This window comes from Homo sapiens, chromosome 2 (assembly GCF_000001405.40).
Source record: "Homo sapiens chromosome 2, GRCh38.p14 Primary Assembly".
Taxonomy (NCBI): domain Eukaryota; kingdom Metazoa; phylum Chordata; class Mammalia; order Primates; family Hominidae; genus Homo; species Homo sapiens.
This window is the reverse complement of record NC_000002.12, coordinates 25598242-25619383: the sequence shown is the minus strand read 5'-3', so window position 1 is coordinate 25619383 and position 21142 is coordinate 25598242. Positions and strand designations below refer to the sequence as shown.

The window sequence follows — 21142 nt, the reverse complement described above, 5'->3', positions numbered from 1 at the left end:
CTGTGAAGTTTTGTAAATTAAGATTAATTGGCAGAATGCGAGTTTTTGAAAATCAAAGAGAGATGCTCTTATTACGTTTAGCTACATATGATAATCGGACTGGTAATAGTGTTTCTGAAGTTGAAGTTTGTTTCCGTGTGAGAAATTTGTGGTTGGCAGCATCCACAATCATTTGCTAAAGAGATAGAAACAGCTTGTGTTAAGTACAAAATACTACCCGTAGTCTTGTTTTCAAAAGTATTAATTTGAATAGCAAACTCCTACTAGATAGTGTAAAGCTAGAAACGTCATCCAGATTTGGTTAGTTTTAAATATTGAAAGACAGAATTTGAGACCTTATTGAACTGAAACGAATGATTTCCCATCCACAGGGAACAGGTGGGGACTTCAGAGGCTTCAGAAGGTACCTGCATGTTAAAACATAACAGCGTTTATTCAGGGTGACTCATTGTCTGCTTAGCTTGGCACAGAGCTAATAATGGTGTTTTCTCAGTGTTGGATAATAACTCTTTTTAGAAGTCATATGCATAGTTTATTGTCAGACTGTAAAATGATAGGGCTATGGAAATGAATCATGCAGAGAAGGCTGAGAAAGGGATCATCATGTCCCTTACTGAAGGAGGACATTCCCTGGAGGGCTTCTATTTGAGTGGGGTTAAAATCACAAGTTTCTTCTGTCTTATCATCTCAACAAATATTACCTGTTTATCTTTTCATCTTAGTGTCTTGATAGAGGGGTTCGTATTCACTGTTAATGGCGTTATATTTCAAATGTTGACCTACCAATCAACTCTGTAGCTATCATAGGCCAGATTTGAAGTGAGTAACATTATTTGTGATGAAACCAGGTTAAATATCATTTCCAAATCTTGTTTGAAGAGAATTGATTCTGGTATAAACTTGGACTTTACATTGGAAGTAGTGAAAACATGGACATTGGTGAGGACATGTGCTGTGGCCACTGGCAGCTAATTATTCAGTTTCAACTTGACCAGTGTATACAGAATAATTTCAGATGTCTCGTGGGAAGGATCAAGAATGAGTTCTTCCAAGAAGAAGGAATCAGTTAGATAAAGAACAAAGTCGGGCGGTATCAGGGTGCTGAGGAGCTGCAGTTTTCTCTCTGCTTGCCTCTAGTTGTAGAGGAAGAATGCTGGGGCTCTAAAGAAACATTAGAAAAGCAAAAGTAATGCTTCCTCTTGGCCTTGTTTAGAGGCAGTTGTAGGAAGTTAGGCTTAAAGTAGACTGAGGGGTTTCAGTGCCAAGAAAAGCATTCTGTGCAGAGGAGTCACTGCTGATGTTTGGCCTGCAAAGCAAACAATTGAGAGAAAAGAGCTAAGTTTTTTTTCTTTTTGAAGGGAAAAATATAAGTAACGTGATTTGTGGAAGTAAGGATGTTGAGACTACCCCTTCATTAATTTTATCGGATAACTATTTCTTTATGCCAAGTTATACTGGAATTTTAAAGTAGGTATCTTTAATAAGTTTCTTTTTAAATTTTTTATTGAGACAGGGTCTTGCTCTGTTGCCCATGCCAAAGAGCAGTGGCGTGATCTTGGCTCACTGCAACCTCCACCTCATGGGTTCAAGCGATTCTCCTACCTCAGCCTCCCATGTAGCTGGAACTACAGGCGCGTATCACCACACCTGGCTAATTTTTGTATTTTTATTAATACAGTTTGAGGCTGGTCTCAAACTCTTGGTCTCAAGTGATCCACCTGCATTAGCCTCCCAAAGTGCTGGGATTGCAGGCGTGAACCACGACGCCTGGCTTCTTTAATAAGTTTCTATAACTGTATTTAAATATACAATTATAACTTTTGTGTATATTTTTGTTTATATTAATATTTCCTTTTGAAGAGTGTATAAACCTTTTGATAGCACTAACTGTGAACCTAAAGTGGTAAATGAAAAGTGATTTGAATGGGGAAGAAGGGTTAATAATTAACACCTCGAGCCCACTGCCCCATTCTCAGGATGCATACTTAACTTATGAATGTATTCTTAAACATAAAGGTTCACTAAGTATTTTCGCCAAATCTCTCCTGTCTGTAAATTCATCCCGCTCACATTTACTATGATCCTTAATCTCAGATTCCTCTACTTTTACCTGAACTTAAAACTCCTTCCACTGTGCTTATACAGTCTGTTTATCCTGTTGAGTTACAGATTGACACTTTGGTGCATATCCCCTGACCCTTAATAAAGCCTGTGATGTTAAGCACGCATACATTTGTTCACCTGAAAGTGCATACAGGTGGAGGGAAGAGAAGATTCGTAGTTTGTTGGGTGGGAGATTATGTGTGGAGATTTCTACGTGGCTGTTGTGAATAAGAAAAATGGTTAAACAGTGGATCTCAGAGATGGTATGTTAAGGGACCACACATTACTGGCAATACTTAATTGAGGGGTTAATGAGTCTTTTTTTTCCTTTTTTTTTTTTTTTTTTTTTGAGACGGGGTCTTGCTCTGTCGCCCAGGCTGGAGTGCAGTGGCGCGATCTCGGCTCACTGCAAGCTCCGCCTCCTGGGTTCACGCCATTCTCCTGCCTCAGCCTCCTGAGTAGCTGGGACTACAGGCCCCTGCCACCACGCCCGGCTAATTTTTTGTATTTTTAGTAGAGATGGGGTTTCACCGTGTTAGCCAGGATGGTCTCGATCTCTTGACCTCGTGATCCACCAGCTTTGGCCTCCCAAAGTGCTGGGATTAGAGGCATGAGCCACTGCGCCCGGCCAAGTCTTTTTTTTTTTTTTTACTATAAATAGCCTGATCTAGATTATTCTGTAAATTAACAGATTCTTTCATCGGAGACCAGCCATTGAGACTAATAATAATCTTAATGAATGGAAAAATACAAGTGTTTTAGTGCTGATCCAGGTTAATTGAGAATTATATCTGTTATTCTGTATTTGAATATGAGAGTCTCTGAATCTAGGACTAATATTTACAACAGGGTTGAGTCAAAGGATATTTTGAATAAGGATGCAAAGTGTTGTAAAATATTAGTGTTTCTAAAAACATTTTGAAGATTAAGAAAATGTTGTACAAGTGCTAATTATTATAATATATAGAAGTAAAGATATCATAGTACCCATGAAGATCCATTGTGTAATGTTTATGGATGGGTATTAATGAGGTAAGTCTCTTCTCAGGAAGAGTTGCAAGTGTGACCTGGCTCTCTTGCTAGTGTGCTGGACTCTGCCACACTTTCCTGTCTGTCTGCATAGATAGCAACAGTTTCTTTTCTGCAGCAAGGAATAGATACAGTTTTGTCTCTTTGAAGGAGGAGAGATTTGGAGCCAGAAAGATTTACACAACTGCAGTGTGATTAATTTTCTGTAATCTTTTATTATGTCCTTTGATTTATCACTGCCAACAAAATAAAAGCTAAAGTCTTACTCTTGCATTCAAAGCTCTATGTTGGTGGTTCTCAGCTCTGGATGCATATGAAAATAGCACAAGGGACTTTTTCAACATAAGAACAGGATGGGGTTTAGGCATCTGAATAGTATCTTTATTCTCATACCTTATTGAGGATTTGTATGGGTTTAGAACTCTAAAAATACACAAGAAATGATCCTGTTGATTTCTACGGAAATACCCTTTTGTGAATTCAATTGGGATTTGCGAAATAATAAGAAATATACATGTTGGTCTGCCCTCAGTCCCTGGCACAGAGCCCCTGAGACCCTTGTAATTTCCTGAGTGATAGGGGTTGTAGGAGAATCTTTTGTTCTAACGTTTGATCGCTGCCCGGGTTCCTGAGACAGAGCTCCTGATACCCCCTTGTAGATAGGTGGTAGAATCTTTTGTTCTAGTATTTGGACTTTGACCGCAGTTCTTTACACTGAACTCCTAATACCTTTGTAACTTCCTGAGTGATAGGAGCATCTTTTGTCCTAAGGAGGCCACTCTTAGGATATAGACTGTTTGCCAGGGGAGCTAATCATGTGATTGATTAGAGAGTTGGGACTTTAAGCCCCACTCCTTAACCTCCAAGAAGGAAGAGGGGCTGAAGGCAGATCACCAGTGGCCAAAGATATAATCAGTCACCCCTAGGTAATGAAGCCTCTATTAAAAACCCAAAAGGACTAGGTTTGGAGAGCTTCCAGATAGCTGAGCAGGTGGAAGTTCCTGGAGTGTAGCACACCTCGGGAAGGCATGGAAGCTGTGTGCCCCTTCCCGTAAAACACACCCTATGCATCTCCTCCATCTGACTGTTCATCTGTATCTTTTATAATATCCTTCATAAATAAGTGGTTAAATATAGGTGTTTTCCTGAGTTCTGTGAGCCAGTCTAGCAAACTAATCAGTCCAAGGAAGGGTCATGGGAACCGCAATTTTATAGTTCGTTGGTCAGAAGTATAGGTGACAGCCTACTACTTGCTACTGATATCTGAAGTGGGGAGCAGTCTTGCGGGAATGAGCCCTCAGCCTGTGGGATCTGATGCTATCTCCAGGTAAATGGTGTCGGACTTGAATCAGATTATAGACATCCAGCTGTTATCTGCTGGAGAATTGCTTGCTTGGTGTGTGGGGAAATAACTCCCGAGGCATCTGGTGTCAGAGTGAATTGCTGTGTAAGAGAGTAGGAAAAACAGTTTTGTTTTGTTTTGTTTTTCCCCGCCTCCATCTCCTTAGAGGATTGCATTGAATCGCAACGGGATTCTGAGCAGTTTAGAGAAAATTGGCATTTAAATTACACTGAACCTTCCATTTTATGAACATAGTATATCTCTCTAAATCTTTTTTGATTTCTTTCATTTGTATTTTGTAGTTTTCAGCATACAGATCTTGAACATGCTTTTAAAAAATATTATTTAATTATTTATATTTTTGTTGCTGTTGTATTTCCAATAGTCTTCTGCTAGTTTAGAGAAATAAAATTGAATTTTTTATGTTGACCTTACATTCTGCAATGTTGTTAAACTCACTTATTATAGTGTTGTTAGTAGTTCTATAGCTTTCTACATATGATCATATTGCCTGGAATGGACACAGTTTTATTTCTTTACTTCTAATGTGTTTTTTGTTTATTTTTCTTGTCTTATTTCACCAGCTGGGTTCTGCAGTGTGAGGTTGACAAGGAGTGGTGGGAGCAGTCCTCTTGATTTGTTCTTAATCTTAGGGGACAAGCACTCAGTCTTTCTTCACTGAGTATGATGGTCACCATGATTATTTTTAAAGATGCCCATTGTCACATGGAAGAAATTCTCTTTTTTTCCTGAGTTTTCTGAGAGTGTCAGGAATTGATGTTGAATTTTGTCATCTCTGCATCTATTCAAATGGTCGTATCGCCTTTCTCTCTTTTTGGTCTGTTGAGATAGTGAATTATATTGATTGGTTTTCATATGTCAAAATAGCCTTATATTCTTGGGATAAAGCTCCCTGGGTTGTGATTTTTGTCCTTATTTATTTATTTATTTAGAGACGGAGTCTTGCTGTGTCGCCCAGGCTGGAGTGCAGTGGCATGATCTCAGCTCACTGCAACCTCCACTTCCTGGGTTCAAGCAATTCTCCTGCCTCAGCCTCCTGAGTAGCCGGGATTACTGGTGAGCGCCACCACGCCCGGCTAATTTTTGTATTTTTAGTAGAGACAAGGTTTCACCATGTTGGCCAGGATAGTCTCAAACGCCTGACCTCATGATCCGCCCACCTTGGCCTCCCAACGTGTTGCGATTACAGGCGTGAGCCACTGCACCCGGCCTGTCCCTTTTTTTTTTTTTCCTACATTTGATTTGCTCATTTTGTTCAAGATTTTTGTAACTATGTTCATTAGAGATACTGACTTGTTGTCTTTTATTGTAATGTCTTTGTTTTTAGTGTCAGAATAATGCTGGCCTTACCCTTATCCTAAACAAATTAATGCAGGAACAGAAAACCAAATACCGACATGTTCTCATTTATAAGTGGGAGCTAAACATAGGGTACTCATGGACATAAACATGGGAACAGTAGACACAGGGGACTGCTAGAGTGGGGACAGAGGGAGGGGGCAAGGGTTGAAAAACTAACTGTTGAGTACTGTGCTCACTACCTGGGTGATAGGATTATTCATACCCCAAACCTCAGCATCACGCAATATACGCATGTAATAAACCTGCACGTGTATTCCCTCAATCTAAAATAAAAATTGGTCTGGGCATAGTGGCTCATGCCTGTAATCCAAGCACTTTGGGAGGCTAGAGCAGGAGGACCACTTGAGTTTAGGAGTTCGAGACCAGCCTGGGCAACATTATGGGGCCCTGTCTCTACAAATAAATAAATAAATGAATAAAATAAAAGTTGAAATTATTAAAAAAAGAATAATACTGACCTTATAAAAAGAGTTGGGAAGTGTTTCTTCCCTTTTTTTATTACCTGGAAGAGTGAGTAGAAATGCAGTTTTTCTTCTTTAAATGTTTAGAGATCTCCAGTACAGCCTTCAGAATGAGGAGCTTTCTTTTTTGGAAGACTTTAAAATGTAGATTCAATTTGTAATGGATATGGGTCTATTCAGTTTATCTGTTTCTCTTGAGTGAGCTTTGGTGGTTTGTGTTTTTCAAGGAGTAGTCTGTATATATCTAGTTCATTCAAGTTGTTGAATTCATGGACATAAAGGTTTTTAAATAATCTTTATTATTTCTGCAATGTCTGTAGAACCTGTGGTGATATCCCCTCTTAATATTGGTAATTTGTGTCTTCTTTTTTTTCTTAGTCAGTCTGGCAAGAGATTTCTATTGTTATTGATCCATTCAAAGAAGCAGCTTTTGGTTTTATTGATATTTTTCTCTATTTTTCTGTTTTCAGCATCATTAATTTCTGCTCTTATTTATAGTATTTTTCACCTTTTTCTTGTTTTGAGTTTAATTTTCTGTTCTTTTTCTAGTGTCTTAAGTTGGAGGGTTAGATTTGAGAACCTTCTTCTTTTCTAGTATAAGCATTTTTAATACTTACAATGTGAAATTACCCACCATTTCATTCCTCTCTCTAGGCTGTCTTCTTCCCACCCTGGCGGCAACCAGTGTTGTTATTTTCTCAATATCCTGTCACATATAGTTTATACATATGCAAACAAATATATTATTTTTCTCTCTCTTTTTTAACATAGTTGTTAGATAACCTTCTAACAATTATTTTGTTCTATACCTTGCTTTTTTCCCCTTAGTCTGCCTTGCATATGATTCTGTCTTTCATATATAATTTCTTATTCTTTTTGTGATAGCAGTCTTCACTATTAATGGACATTTTGGTTATTTCCAGTCTTTTGCCATTAGAAACATGCTGCAAAAAATGACTATGAATATGCACATTCAAAAACATCATTTTAGGCTTCTCGAGTGTGTAAATTCCATGTGAAAAGAATGGAACAGTTTTCTACCCCCTTTATTTCTCTCCTTTTTCTGTGTTTAGATAATGTGCTGTCTCTTGATAAAGGGCCTACTTGGTATAGAGAGAAAGAAAGAATTACATTAATTCTTCTGCTTGGTCTATCCAAATAACTCCAGGGATATTCAGACTTATTTTCTTAATAATTCCTTTATTAAGTATTAGACCAACATTAATCACTTTATTTTAGTGTATTATTTTTCTATTTAGAGATGAGGTCTGACTGTATTGCCCAGGCTGGTCCCAAACCCCTGGACTTAAGTGATCCTCCTGCTTCAGCCTCCTGAGTAGCTGGTACTACAGGCATGCGCCACAGTTCCCAGATATAATCACTTTAGAAGTCGATAGGATCCTAAGGACGGACTTCTTCTTGAAGGCATTTCCAAGGTGCTGTGCTTTTCCCTCTAGATTATTTTCAAACTCCTCAGCATTGCCAGTACCCTTGGCCCTCTGTATCTGCAGATTCCCATGTGTGGATTCAGACACCCATGGATATGGAGGGCCAACTCTAGAGGGGACTTGAATATCCGTGGATTTTGGTATCTGCAGGGGTCCTGGAAACAATTGCCCATGAATACTGAGGGCTGATTGTATATAATCCTTAGAATGTTATCAGTTCTTGTGCCACTGGTTTCACTTTTACCCACAAGCAGCTTTTTTTTCTTTCTTTTAGTAAGGAATATCAATAAGTCAACAAGTATTTATTTGTACCTATAGTATAGGCAGTGACTCATGTTTTGTTTGTCCTGCTCATCGAATAGTTTAAAATATAGAGTTTGAAAATATCCCTCAGTAAGAGAATGGATAAAATGCAGTATATTCATACAACAGAATGCTGCATAGCAGGATGAACTAATATATGTAACAACATAAAAAATCTTGTAGATATTTTGTTGAGTGAAAGAAGCCAGACACAAAAGAGTGCATACTGTAAGATTCCATTTGTATGAAGTTCAATTGCTGCCAAATCTGACCTATGATACTAGAAGTCAGGATAGATGTTACTGGGCTGGGTGCAGTGGCTCACGCCTGCAATCCCAGCACTTTGGGAGGCCGAGGTGGGTGGATCACCTGAAGTCAGGAGTTCTAAACCAGCCTGGCCAACATCGTGAAACCCTGTATCTACTAAAAATAAAAAGATTATCTGGGCATGGTGGTGTGCACCTGTAATCCCAGCTACTCGGGAGGCTAAGGCACGAGAATCACTTGAACCCAAGAGGTGGAAGTTACAGTGAGCCAAGATCACACCACTGCACTCCAGCCTGGGCAACAGAGAGAGATTCTGTCTCAAAAAAAAAAAAGGATAGAAGTTACCACGGTGGGAAGTGGGTTTAGGAAAGAGGTGCTTCTGGGTGCTAGTAATGTTCTGTCTTTTGACCTGAGTGCTGGTTAGTTACCTGGGTATTTATTTTGTGAAAGTTCATTCAGTGAACTTTAAATGTTCATGAGGGAACATTTTGTGAAAGTTCATTCATGAATTATGCACTTTTCTATAGGTTCATTATACTTTAATGAAAAGTTAAAAAGGATACCATACAGAATTAACTAAAGGCATAATCGTTGATCATGGTTAGAGCTTAAAATTATATAAAACCAGAGAGATTACTTACTTTTTCCTGGCACATATACTCTCTCTCTCTTTAAAGTGATCATTTAAAAAGTAATCAATTATGAAAGTGATAAATATTACATTACAAAATAAAAGGAAGTGTAGCTAAACTATTTCTTTAAAAATCTTTCAAGCCAGGTGTGGTGGCATGTGCCTGTGGTCCCAGCTACTCAGGAGGCGAAGGTGGGAGGATTGTTTGAGCCCAGGAGGTTGAGGCTGCAGTGTGCTGTGATCACGCCACTGTATTTCAGCCTGGGCGACAGAGGGAGACCCTGTCTCAAAACAAAACAAGACAACAACAAAAAAAATATAGTTCACCTAAGTCAGACTTCACACTGCTTAGACTGAGGACAGTCTTTGGAAACAGTAACTTATGACATCTACAAAATTTATCTCATTATTTTTGAGATTTCTGTTCCTTTTATTATTAATTAAGGTCAGTGTCTTTTCATGCACTTAATAGTCATTTGTATTTCTTCCATGTCTATTTTGTGTATGTGAATGCAGCTTCCCTTTTTCTCTTGTGTCTTTTTTTCTTTTCTTTTTATAAAGTTGATTTGTTTTGGGTCAGTGGTTCTCAATTCTGGCTGTTTTGAATCACTTGGGGAACTCCTAAGAATTACCAGTGTCAACGCCCCACCCTAGGCCAAATAATTAGGATCTCTAAGGGTTGGGCCTAAGCCTTGGTATTTTTAATTTTGTGTGTGTGTGTGTGTGTGTGTGTGTGTGTGTGTGTGTGTGTGTGTGTGTACATTCTATTATGGAAATGTTTATGCATAGCAACATATATAACAAGTTTTTTTTTTTTTTTTGAAAGAGTTTCGCTCTTGTTGCCCAGGCAACAAGAGATGATGCTATCTCAGCTCACTGCAACCTCCGCCTCCTGGGTTCAAGCAATTTTCCTGCCTCAGCCTTCTGAGTAGCTGGGATTACAGGCATGCGCCACCACACCTGGCTAATTTTGTATTTTTAGTAGAGACGGAGTTTCTTCATGTTGGTCAGGCTGGTCTTGAACTCCCGACCTCAGGTGATCTGCCTGCCTCGGCCTCCCAAAGTGCTGGGATTACAGGCGTGAGCCACTGTACCCGGCCCATCAGGCATTCTTAATCCCACTCTGGACTTCAGCAATAGTTTCTTTTGTTGCTTCATCTTTGTGGGCCACTTTACTTCAGGTTAGAAGCTGTATCCATCAGAGTTCTTAGTTGTAAGTAATAGATACCATCTCTGGCTAATTAATTAAAAGGGTGACCCACAGATTCTGTAAGTAGGTTGGGAAAGTAGGCTTGAAAACTACACTGCTAGGAACATAGTGCAAAATGATTGCACAGAACTCTCATGAAGACACCTCTCTGGCCACAGACCTTGCTGCTTGTGCTCCAAACACCACTGATGCTGGGCTCTGGGTGCTGCCCCAAGAATCATTATCTCTGCTGCCCCAGAACACTGAATGTAGCTGCCCCTACTGCTGCCATCCCCACTAGGTGGATTCTTCTGGAGTTCCTGCTTCTCCAAGTTAATATTTACCCCCTTGAAATCTAGCATAGTGCATTTTATTGGTGGAGCTCTGTTATGTGCCCCTATCCTAGTTTCAGAGAAAGATGAGAAAGCAAATATATGTTTTTTTTTCCTTCTTTGTACTTTAGTAGTGGAAAGTCTACTTGTCCCATAAGGTAGGGTGTGCTTAAATGTAGACTCAGCTTTCAAGTGCTTGGTGTCAAAAAAGAAAGTCCACTGTAAAAGCTCTGTATCAGTCTTAGAAACCCATTCCTTTTAACCTAATGATCTATCTTATAACCACTAGCTTTTCTTACATAATGCAGTAGATATTTGATGCAGGAATATGCCTTATTTATGGGTGCCATATTGCTTTGTACATGGAGCTGTATCTTTATTTCTGAAGAACAATATATTTTAAAAACCCCATTCTAATTTTAGCTAGTTGCAGTCATTCCTATTTTGTTTTATGAATAAACTCAAGGAGATGTTATAGTTAAAAGCTCAACTGTAACAAATATTGATATTTCCTGGTGGTGTTTTCACAGATAATTTTCTAGCGTATAGGCTATTTGCCTTTTTTCAGGTGTGATCTTTCTGTATATAAAGACAGTGTGGAAAATGGGAAACACTGTATTAGAACCATTGTGGATATAAATAGGATGATACATTCTTTTTCTAAACAAAGAAGGTATAGCTCTCATTATTGCAAAAGTGTTTTACTCTAAGTTACAATGAAACATTGTGAACACAAGCTTTTAAAAATTAACACAAAAAGCACATTCTTGGCTTACCTGTGATAACTTTAACAACCAACTAGTGAAGTTTTTATCTGCTGTGAAACCAGGGCATAGTTGAGTGAATGAAGCCGTGGACACTTTGGGTCAGGGGCCTCGGTGATATTGTCTTGGTTCTGCTGGTGGTGTGCAGCATTACCTTAGGTGATTCATTTATGTTCTTCTACATTTCGTCTTTCCAGTTCCTAAAGAAGAATTAATGTTACTATCCCTTCCTCTTCACTTTTCTTACAGTGGTGTATTAGAAGATCTGAGACAGGTGTGATTGAGCTTCTTAGAATAAACACGTGGTAACATAAAGGTTGTTACAGTAAAAACAAAGATGAATGTACTATAAAATCTTCATAGTAAGATGCACCCTGTTGTTTAGTATGTAACAAGAAACCATTGTTGTAATATCCTGATGTAAGGTTATGTTTCTGAATTATATTCAAACCAGGTGGCCCCTCAGTTTTGAATACTTAAGAACTACAGCTGTGGATTTAATGGGTTTAATTAATAGGAAATTCACTTCAGGTTCATCCATTTGACCTCTGCTACATAGCCAACAGAAATTACATAGAATGTTTCTAAAACTTCCAGAAAATTCAGGCTAGCTTTAGCATTCTTCACCTAGCATAGGTGAAGTCTTAATTCTACAAATGAAAAAAAAAAAATCCAGGGTTTCTAAATGTGGTAAAATTGTAACAGACAAGGTCAGGAATCAACTTACTGGGTTGCTCAGTATTTAGTGATACATTCGAGTCCTTTTGTGGTTTCAGATAGCAATTATTTCTAATATAATTTATTTTGCAGTGAGGGCCGAGGCAAGTTGACGGTATTTTCAGTTAAAGCTATGTTAGCAACCATGTGTGGTGGAAAAATGCTGGACAAATTGAGATGTAAGTATTTTCATATTATTTGAAAAATGCCATTTTCAAATTAGGACTTTTAAATGAATATTGTCAGAATTTTGAATGATGTTATATTGAGCTTTTAAAAAAATTACCATGTCACTCACGCTGCAGCAGCTGGCTCACAGTAGGTGAGTTATGCCACCTACTGTTCAGATGGAAAAGTTGGTTAATTTAATTTATTGTTAGTCCTTTTTAGTGAGAAAATGGAAAAGACTCAGAATCATAATGCTGACATTTAAAAACTTATTTTAGAAATGTTTTCCACATTATTAAAATTATGCTTGAAAATGATTATATTGAGAACTTTTAGTTAAAGTAAATTTGATTGCTTTTACTGAGTTCGGTCTGGTTTAGCTCTTAATAACTCCATTCTTCATCAGGTGATGTTTGCTGTGATTACATTATTCCTTACTACTCTAGAGTCAGCCACAGTTATTTAGAAGCTGATGACCTGTTTTTTTAAAAAAATTCCTGTTATCTTTGCTAATTTTTTTTTAACCATTAGTCATTTTGGCATTTTACCATTCATTAGATACTATAAGAAGGTGATTAGATGAAATCAAAAGAGATGAAATTCACAACTATTTAATTTTGCTGCTTATGGTTTTTATTTATTCAGTTATTAGTTATTAACTCCCTAAGATATGCCAAGAATTGTGCTAGGTGCTTTACATGTATTTTCTCATGGAATCCTTAAAATTCCTTTGAGCAGCAGGTGATATTTTCTTCATTTTATCGATGAGTTAACCAAGGGGGCAAAGCTGGGGTTTTAACTCAGATGTCAGAGCCCTGTTCTGAGCTATGTGATTGTGCTCCCCTGTGCTAGTGCTGTAGCAGGAGACACACGTGTAATTTCAGTACAGTGTTCAGAGTGCCATAAAGCAGTAGCCACAGAGTAGGAAACTGGATGCCAGCTTTCAAGGGATGAGACTGAAGTCTTAATGAGGTAGTGTGGTAGTGTGGTACCCTGTGAGCCCGGATTTGGATGACTGAGTCCTTGCAATATTCCTCCATGCCCTTTTTTTTTTTAAATTGAAAGATACAGAGGTTTGATCAGATTCAAGTATTAATACAAGTTTTTCGGCAAGATTACTTCATAGGTGTATTTGTTTTTTGTGCTTTTTCTTACTTTACCATGACACTGAAAGTTGGAAAGCTAGATGGCCCATTAGATATAGATTTAGATATTCCAAAGAAAGATCTTAATGTATTTGGTCAACTGTTATCCAGTTTATCTTCATTTCAAAGTTAGCTGCAATATAGAACATGTTTTTGGTAATAAGAATTATGGTTTTATTTAAATATTCTTCTGAGGTTTTTCACATGGTATATCCCAAAATATTCTTTGGGCTGAAATTCCTTTTATATTTTTGTAAAATATAAAAATATGTTTTTCTGAGGAAGATAATATGTATGAAAGTATATTTCATCAAACACAAAGAAAAGTTGTAGTCTTGTCTAATTTTTAATGATGCTGATACCAGATAAAGAATATATATACCATCTTTATTAATATTGGGGAGACTGGTTGAAAAATACAGTAGTAGAAAAATACATTAGCAGAAAATTAACTGTATTCTAGATGACTCTGGAATCTTTAAATTTCTTTAAAGTCTACTATATTTACATAGAGCCAGCTCACCTGGCATATGGTAAATACTTAAAATTTTGTCAAATGTAAATTGTTGATTGAATAATAAAATTACTCCAGTTCTGCGTTATAACTGTTAGTGAAAAGGCGCAAATTCTAGTTCTCGGTTTGGAAGGGATCCAGGTGATAGCAGTTTTTTTGATGTGGCTTCTGAACTTTTTGGAGGAACACGAAGTGACCAAGATTGAAGTGGTGCAAAAGCCCACGGGCCAAGCCAAAGGTGACATGTCAGCATGCTCAGGACCCCAAGTCATTGCAATAGTGTTTGGATGGCTGTGATACAGACTGTGCTGGGTTACCAATCACTGTGTTTATCTGATTCAAGTAGATTTCAAGTGTGGTTTATCTTTTCCTTGCTAAAAATTATAGTTTCTCTGCTAGTTGTAGGTCTGTTTCATTATTTTTGTTGTACTGTAATTATCTTGGCTTGGGCTTGAGATGTTCAACATAAGTAAAATACTTGGGTAGGGAAGCCTATCTCTACTTTTTAATCTTCCAAGGTGGAAAACACTTTAAAATGTGGCTTGCCCCTTCCATTTTAAACAGAACTTGGCTGGGTGCAGTGGCTCATGCCTGTCATCCCAGCACTTTGGGAGGCTGAGGTGGGAGGATCACTTGAGGCCAGGAGTTTGAGACCAGCCTGGGCAACGTAGTGAGACTGTGTATCTATAAAAGCAATTTTAAGGCCGGGTGCAGTGGCTCCCGCCTGTAATCCCAGCACTTTGGGAGGTTGGGGTGGATCACCTGAGGCCAGGAGTTTGAGACCAGCCTGGCCAACATGGTGAAACCTTGTCTCTACTAAAAATACAAAAATTAGCTGGGCATGGTGGCACATGCCTATAATCCCAGCTACTCGGGAGGCTGAGGCAGAATTGCTTGAGCCCAGGAGATGGAGGTTGTAGTGAGCCAAGAGCATGCCACTGCACTCTAGCCTGGCCGACGGAGTGAGACTGTCTCAAAAAAATAAATAAATAAAAATAAAAGTAATTTAAAAAGTTAGTTTGGCATGGCAGTACATACCTGAGGTCCCAGCTCCTCAGGAAGCTGAGCCAGGAGGATCACTTGAGGCTAGAAGTTCGAGGCTGCAGTGAGCTATGGTCATGTCACTGCACTGCAGCCTGGGTAGTGGAGTGAGACTGTCTCAAGAAAAGAAAGAGAGAGAGAGAGAGAAAGAAGGGAGAGAGAGAAAAAAAAGAAAAGAAAGAAACGAGAACTCACTGATTATACTTTTAACATTTTCATCTCTTAAGGATGCCATTTTCTGATGCATTTAGGATTTAGGGCTGATTGTGAAGCTTGGTTTGTCTACTCCTCCTATTTTGAGACTATTATGCTTTTTCAGTTCTTGAGTTTTTTGTTGTTGTTGGTGGTGGTGGTGGTGGTGGCGGCAGTGGTTTGTGTATGTCCTTTATCACTGGCAAATATGATGTTATGTGTTTTTGGTGCTCCACTCTCTGGAAATCTCTCCTTGCTTCTGACTTACTACTTTTAATATGCTACGGACAGAGAAGTAATAACCAAACCTCTTAGCATTCTATTTAAAATAAGGATTTAAAGTGATTGTTATGAGAGAAGCACTTGAGCTTGTGTAGTATGATTGTTAGCTTTGGCTATTTTCAGAACCTTTCCCTCCTTGTTTTCTGGTTCTCAGCAATGTCCTACTTAGTTGAGGTGGCTGAATAATTGTGCAGCCAAAAGAGAGAAGTAACACTGTATTGTAACAGCAAATGATCTTTGATTGTTTATTCACTTTCTCATACCTAATTATTCCATTGTTTTGGTTCTTCTTGTTTGCTCCAACCTCCTTCTACTGACTGGACTCTCTGTTGTTACCTCTATTAATGCTCCTGTTATATTAAGTTTTCTCATTTATGGAATGTTTTAGCATTTCTACTTTTTTTTTTCTGCTTTGATCTTCCTGCTTTTTACTTTCTTAGAATTTTTCCTATGATTTTCTCCTCTCTACCTTTTTTATTTGACATGGGGTTTTTGGTTTTAGTATCAAGATAGCATTTGAATGACTGAACAAATATTTGTACTTTCTGTTTAAAACATTTCTTAGATTTTTCAGATTTGTCTTAAGAGAGTTTCTGTCTCCAGGTAGCATTCATTTACAGAGATGGTTCATTGTTGTGGCCATTAGAGACTATGTCCTAGATTCGGAGGTAACTTTTATCAGGATTCTAAATACCAATGATTTATAATCGGAATATGGACTTTAATTAAAAGCACAATCAAAATTCAGTAATGTCAGAAACCCAAAATATAACTCAAGGAAACAAAATTTGTAGACTGTAAAGCCCATTATGTATTAAAACATGCTTAATTATCAATTAATTTGACTGTGCAATTTATTTACTTTAATTCTGCTATTTGTTTTCGAAGAAATTTAGTCTCCTTATTCAAATTGCATCTGGTTGCACTAAAAGGAGCAAAAGATTCATAAATTTATTTTAAAATTCGTTAAAAAGCTGGTGCTACTATTTTGAAAGGCAGTTCAACAATATGTATCAGGAAGGCTTTAAAAAGATTCATATTCATTCACTCAGTCTACTTCTTGAGTTTATCCTAAGGAATTAATCAGAAGTGTACCCCAAGTTTTTTGTATATTGCAACACTTATATGAAAACTGGAAACATCTTTAGTGTCCAAAAGTGAGAACTCAGTTAAATTTTGGGACACCCACATGATTGAATATAATGCCTTTAAAAATAGGTTTTAGATCAAAATGCATAAGTGTAATGTAGTTTTAAACAAAAATTTGCTGTGCACATAGAAAATAAGAAATATACCAAAATAATAACAGGGGTTTTTCTCTGGGTTCTAACACAATGGTTTTATAATAATAATTTATATTATTTATCTTTTTGCATGTTTTTGATAGACCACACTATCAGCAGTCAGAGAAAAGATGACCTGAGATTCTTTCTGTTTTGGTCAGAATTGACTATTCCTACTGATGTTTCAACTGTTTGCTTCCTTCATGTTTCATTAGCAGACTGTAGAAGGGCCTCCCTTTGAAGTTACAGTTAAACAGTTTCACCTGTTCAGATTTTAGACTCCTCTGCTGTAGTTTTTTAACCACCCATGGCTGCATAATTATCCTCACTGGTTTCTGTTAACCATCCCTTCTCCTCAGTAGATGGAAGTGACTGTTTAATCTAAATGAGTGATGGCTAGATTTACATTTTTCAGATAACCAAAATGTTTTAGAAATGGAAGGAAGTAAAAGATAAGCCTTAAATATGTATTTTATGAATAAGGGGAAAAAAAGAAGAAAAAGGAAAACAAAAACCAAAGGAGGTCTGGAGCCTTGTCTCAGGTGGTTCCTGGCTGAGTCAACACCAGAAGCCCAAGGCATGCAGACTCCCACCCTCCAGCCTCATTGCAGCTTAATGATGTGGCATATTAATAAGTTTCTTTTTTTTTTCTTTTTTCTTTTTCTTTTGAGATGGAGTCTTGCTCTGTTGCCCAGGCTGGAGTGCAGTGGTGTGATCTCGGCTCACCGCAGCTTCCACCTCCCGGGTTCAAGTGATTCTCCTGCCTCAGCTTCCCAAGTAGCTGGGACTACAGGCGTGTGCCACCATGCCTGACTAATTTTTGTATTTTCAGTAGAGGCCGGGTTTCCCCATGTTGGACAGGCTGGTCTTGAACTCCTGACCTCAGGTGATCCACCTGCCTTGGCCTCCCCAAGTGTTAGAATTACAGGCATGAGCCACCGCACCCCGCCAGTGGCATATTAATGAGTTTCGAACTACAGTATGCACTCGGGCCTAGTTGTGTTTAGGTATTTATCAACATACAGATGTGTGTGCATGGTTTTGTGGGTTAGGTTGCTGAGCTGGTAGAAAGATGACAGGCGATGAGAGTCATTTGCCAGGGAAAGCAAACATGTAAAAGAAAATGGCTTTCTGTTTATAGACTCATTTCTTCAGTCTAAACAGCCCTTTCATCTGCAAAAAAAATAGGTGGCTAGTCATGTGGGGATGAAAGGGGAGTTGAAATAGATGGATAGATCCAGCCAGTAAAACTAGGGTCATTATCACCAGGAAAAAATCAAGACATATGTGATGATGGTGGCTCACTAGCATTTTTTTGCTTATTACACAAAAGATATTATAGAATATTTTAAAAATTGCATACACATGTACATTTAAGGGCTTGATTGTGGGTTTTTCACAAGGGAGAAAGCTTCCTTTTTAGCTGGAAATAACTGTTAGGGAATTAGCATACTTTCAGAGGTGTATAAATAGAAAGAGAATTACTTGGGAAATTAACTGGGGATGTGGGAAGTAATTTAGTCCCTTAATACCAGGAGGGTTTAGGGCTTTATTTAATTAGAGTACTAGTTTAATTTTTAAAATATTTTCATTAAATTTTATTATTTTATTCACTTCTTTGATAAGATCCTTTTATATGTACATAGGTAAATCACAATAACTTAGGTTGATTGTTAAACTTCATTTAAGATTTAAGAATTAGCAATCATTTTTAAATTGTTTTTCTTAGAGATAAAAGCCTATTCACAAAAAAATTGTTTTAAACCCATAACTCAAGAAGTAATGAATTATTTCACTGTGCCTTCAGTTTTGGGGTCTAGCAGTATGTCTCATTAAAGCAAATAGACATGTTTCCACTTCTCTTATTGTAATATAGGCCTGTTATAGTTTCTTATGAATAAAAAATTTTGTATTACTTTGAATCTATTCATATGACGTAGTAACTAAGTATAACTGAAATAATACTTTTTTGTGGGAGTGGTTAGTCATTTTACTATCCAGTCACTCCTTTTTATTACTCTGAATGAGTTAGGTATAGATTCGTTGGTGTGGGTGTATACCTACACATTTTTGTGATTGTGAAGCTATACATATATATATTAATGTACTTGAAAGCTAAAGTCACTGGTCCTGAATATTTCCACCACTAGTGGCCACAGGTTAATTACTCATTAGTTAATTAGTTATGAATACACAGAGTGGCGATAGAAAACTTGACTGAGAGTGGCTTAAGCAGATTGGGATTTATTTTTCTCATGTAAAAATAAGTCCAAACGCTGAGAAGTTCAAAGTTGGTACCCTGACTTATGGCTGTCCTCACAGACTTCACTTCTTCCCGTCTTTCTTCTGCCATATGGCCTTCGTCCTTAGGATCAAAAGATGTTTGCCATATCCCAGGCCTCTGTACTTACTCCAGGCAGAAGGAAGAAAGAGTTGCCTCTATGAAGAAAGCAAAGGGTTTTCCAGACATCTACTCCAGCATTGCAATGTGCAAAGGAGGCTGAGAAGTCATTCGTTAAGTGGCACATAGTCATTCCCAGCAGTCGGGCTCAGCTAGTGAGCGAGAAGGGGAAGAAGATACTGAGGCACCTGGCAGTGTCTGCCACCTCCCATGTTGACCCTTTGTTTTCATTCAGATTCAATGAACGATTATTTTCCTCCTTGTAAGACTAGCAGCTATTTATTTATTTTTGAGATAGGGTCTTGCTCTGTTACCCAGGCTGGAGTGTAGTGGTATGATCAGAGCTCACTGCAGCCCCCAACTTCTGCACTCAAGCGGTCCTCCCCCTTCAGTCTCCTGAGTAGCTGGGAGTACAGGCACCTGCCACCATGCCTAGCTAATTTTTTTTATTTTTTGTAGAGACAAGGTCCTGCTATCTTGCCCAGGCTGGCCTTGAACTCCTGGGCTCAAGCGATTCTCCTCTGCCTGGGCCTCCCAAAGTTCTGGGATTACAGGTGTGAGCCACCACGCCTGACCAGCAGCCAGCTATTTAAAGGTTAAATCATTTATGTTCTTCCCTCCTTTGAAGAGCATCATTTATTCATATCATTGGTAACATTTTCAAAGTTCTCTATCTGCAGTCTAGAACTGTGGTCAAATATTGTTTCTAACTGTCTGCATGGTAGTTCCACTTAAAAATTTGCTAGTTTGGGCCAGACACTGTGGCTCACACTTGTAATCCCAGCACTTTGGGAAGCCGAGGCGTGCATCACGAGATCAGGAGATTGAGACCATCCTGGCTAACACGGTGAAACCCCGTCTCTACTAAAAATACAAAAAATTAGCTGGGCATGGTGGCGGGCGCCTGTAGTCCCAGCTACTCAGGAGGCTGAGGCAGGAGAATGGTGTGAACCCAGGAGGTGGAGCTTGCAGTGAGCCAAGATCACACCACTGCACTCCAGCCTGGGCAACAAAGTGAGACCCCGTCTAAAAAAAAAAAAAATTGCTAGTTAGTTCAAACAGTAATGTTCAAAGCTAAGTGTAATATCTTTATCTTTGATTTGCTTATGTCAATCAGGATTTGTCATCATTTCCCCAAACTAGAAACTTAAAATAATCCTAACTTTTAAACTTCCTTTATTCCGTAATCTAGTTTGCCATCAACTGCAGTTCCTTGCATTGAAATGCCTTGGACTTGGCCTCCCCTGTCCCCGCACACACTGTCACTGCTGTAATCCAGGCTCCCCCACAACCTCCTTTGTGCATTGTTTACAAGGTTTCCTAGCTGGTGTCTCCAATTCCATTCTTTTTCTTTTATTCATTGTGTGCCGGTCATTAACAGTCTAATTGCCTTGAAACCTAGCTTTCTAAAAATTTGATCTCTACTTAAAAGTTTTTAAGCTAAATCCAGATTGCTTCCCTCTTTCATCGTTTTCTTTTATAACAGAAATACTCTTCCTATTCAGTCTTTATTTTTCTTTTTTTCTCACTATAAATTGGCTGTTGTAGAATTTTTTCTTCAATACCCTGTTTCCTGCTTATCACCGGTAAGAGATACAGGCTGCATGCTCCTGTCATAGACTTTTATCCTACTCTTCTTTAGTGCCCCCCAGTCCCTATCCTCAACCTGTTTTGACCCCATCATTCCAGATCCTCTCTTTCAAGGCCTAGCTTCCAAATGTCTTTATTTTAGAACTTGACAATTCCTGCTTATGTGTTTTTGTATCTATTCTAAATTATATTTTGAAGGAGTGTGGTGTAATGGTATTTATTTTGGAGTCAGATAGGTGTGGTTTTAAACTTGATTTGGCCTCTGAACTTTTTGACCTTAAGCAAGTTAACCTTTCTAAGCTGTAATAGTAGAGTAATGCTTAGTGTTAGAGTTTGTTGCATGAGAGCAAAAACCCGGAATAACAGTATCGTAAACAAAGTTGAGGTTTAATTTTCTCTCACATAAAAGAAGTCCAGAGGTGGGTAGTCCAGGGCCAGTATGGTAACTTCATGTTCATCTGGGATTCACACTTTGTCTTTTTTTTCCCCTACCATTCTAGAGTGATTTCTATATCAAGATTGAGATTACCACATAGTGCAAGATGGCAGCTGGAGCT

General features: G+C 38.2%; 1 protein-coding gene across 31 annotated transcripts in view, besides 3 other annotated features; it reads left to right on the top strand.

Annotated features, from left to right (window-relative positions):
* The window catches only part of DTNB (dystrobrevin beta), a 296335-nt gene that overhangs the window by 54194 nt on the left and 220999 nt on the right, over nt 1-21142 (top strand). For 26 of the 31 annotated variants that reach the window (NR_147180.2, NM_001320932.2, NM_183361.3 and 23 more), the window contains one exon: nt 12063-12148. The exons of the other annotated variants lie outside the window; for them this stretch is intronic. Coding sequence is in view for 23 of the 26 variants with exons in the window: in NM_183361.3 (NP_899205.1) it covers nt 12063-12148 (86 nt within the window). In the remaining 3 variants the exon portion in view is untranslated. The remainder of the gene's footprint in view (nt 1-12062; nt 12149-21142) is intronic. 31 annotated transcript variants of the gene reach the window in all.
* Nucleotides 14573-14806: a silencer, noted in NCBI's record as "fragment chr2:25827447-25827680 (GRCh37/hg19 assembly coordinates)". NCBI's record gives its function as "represses an EF-1alpha promoter that drives an FKBP-Casp9 reporter gene in an ReSE screen in K562 erythroleukemia cells {active_cell/tissue: K562}" and the evidence as "EXISTENCE:reporter gene assay evidence [ECO:0000049][PMID:32094911]".
* Nucleotides 16958-17007: an enhancer, noted in NCBI's record as "active region_15462". NCBI's record gives its function as "activates an Ori minimal core promoter by ATAC-STARR-seq in GM12878 lymphoblastoid cells {active_cell/tissue: GM12878}" and the evidence as "EXISTENCE:reporter gene assay evidence [ECO:0000049][PMID:35858748]".
* Nucleotides 17488-17537: a silencer, noted in NCBI's record as "silent region_11262". NCBI's record gives its function as "represses an Ori minimal core promoter by ATAC-STARR-seq in GM12878 lymphoblastoid cells {active_cell/tissue: GM12878}" and the evidence as "EXISTENCE:reporter gene assay evidence [ECO:0000049][PMID:35858748]".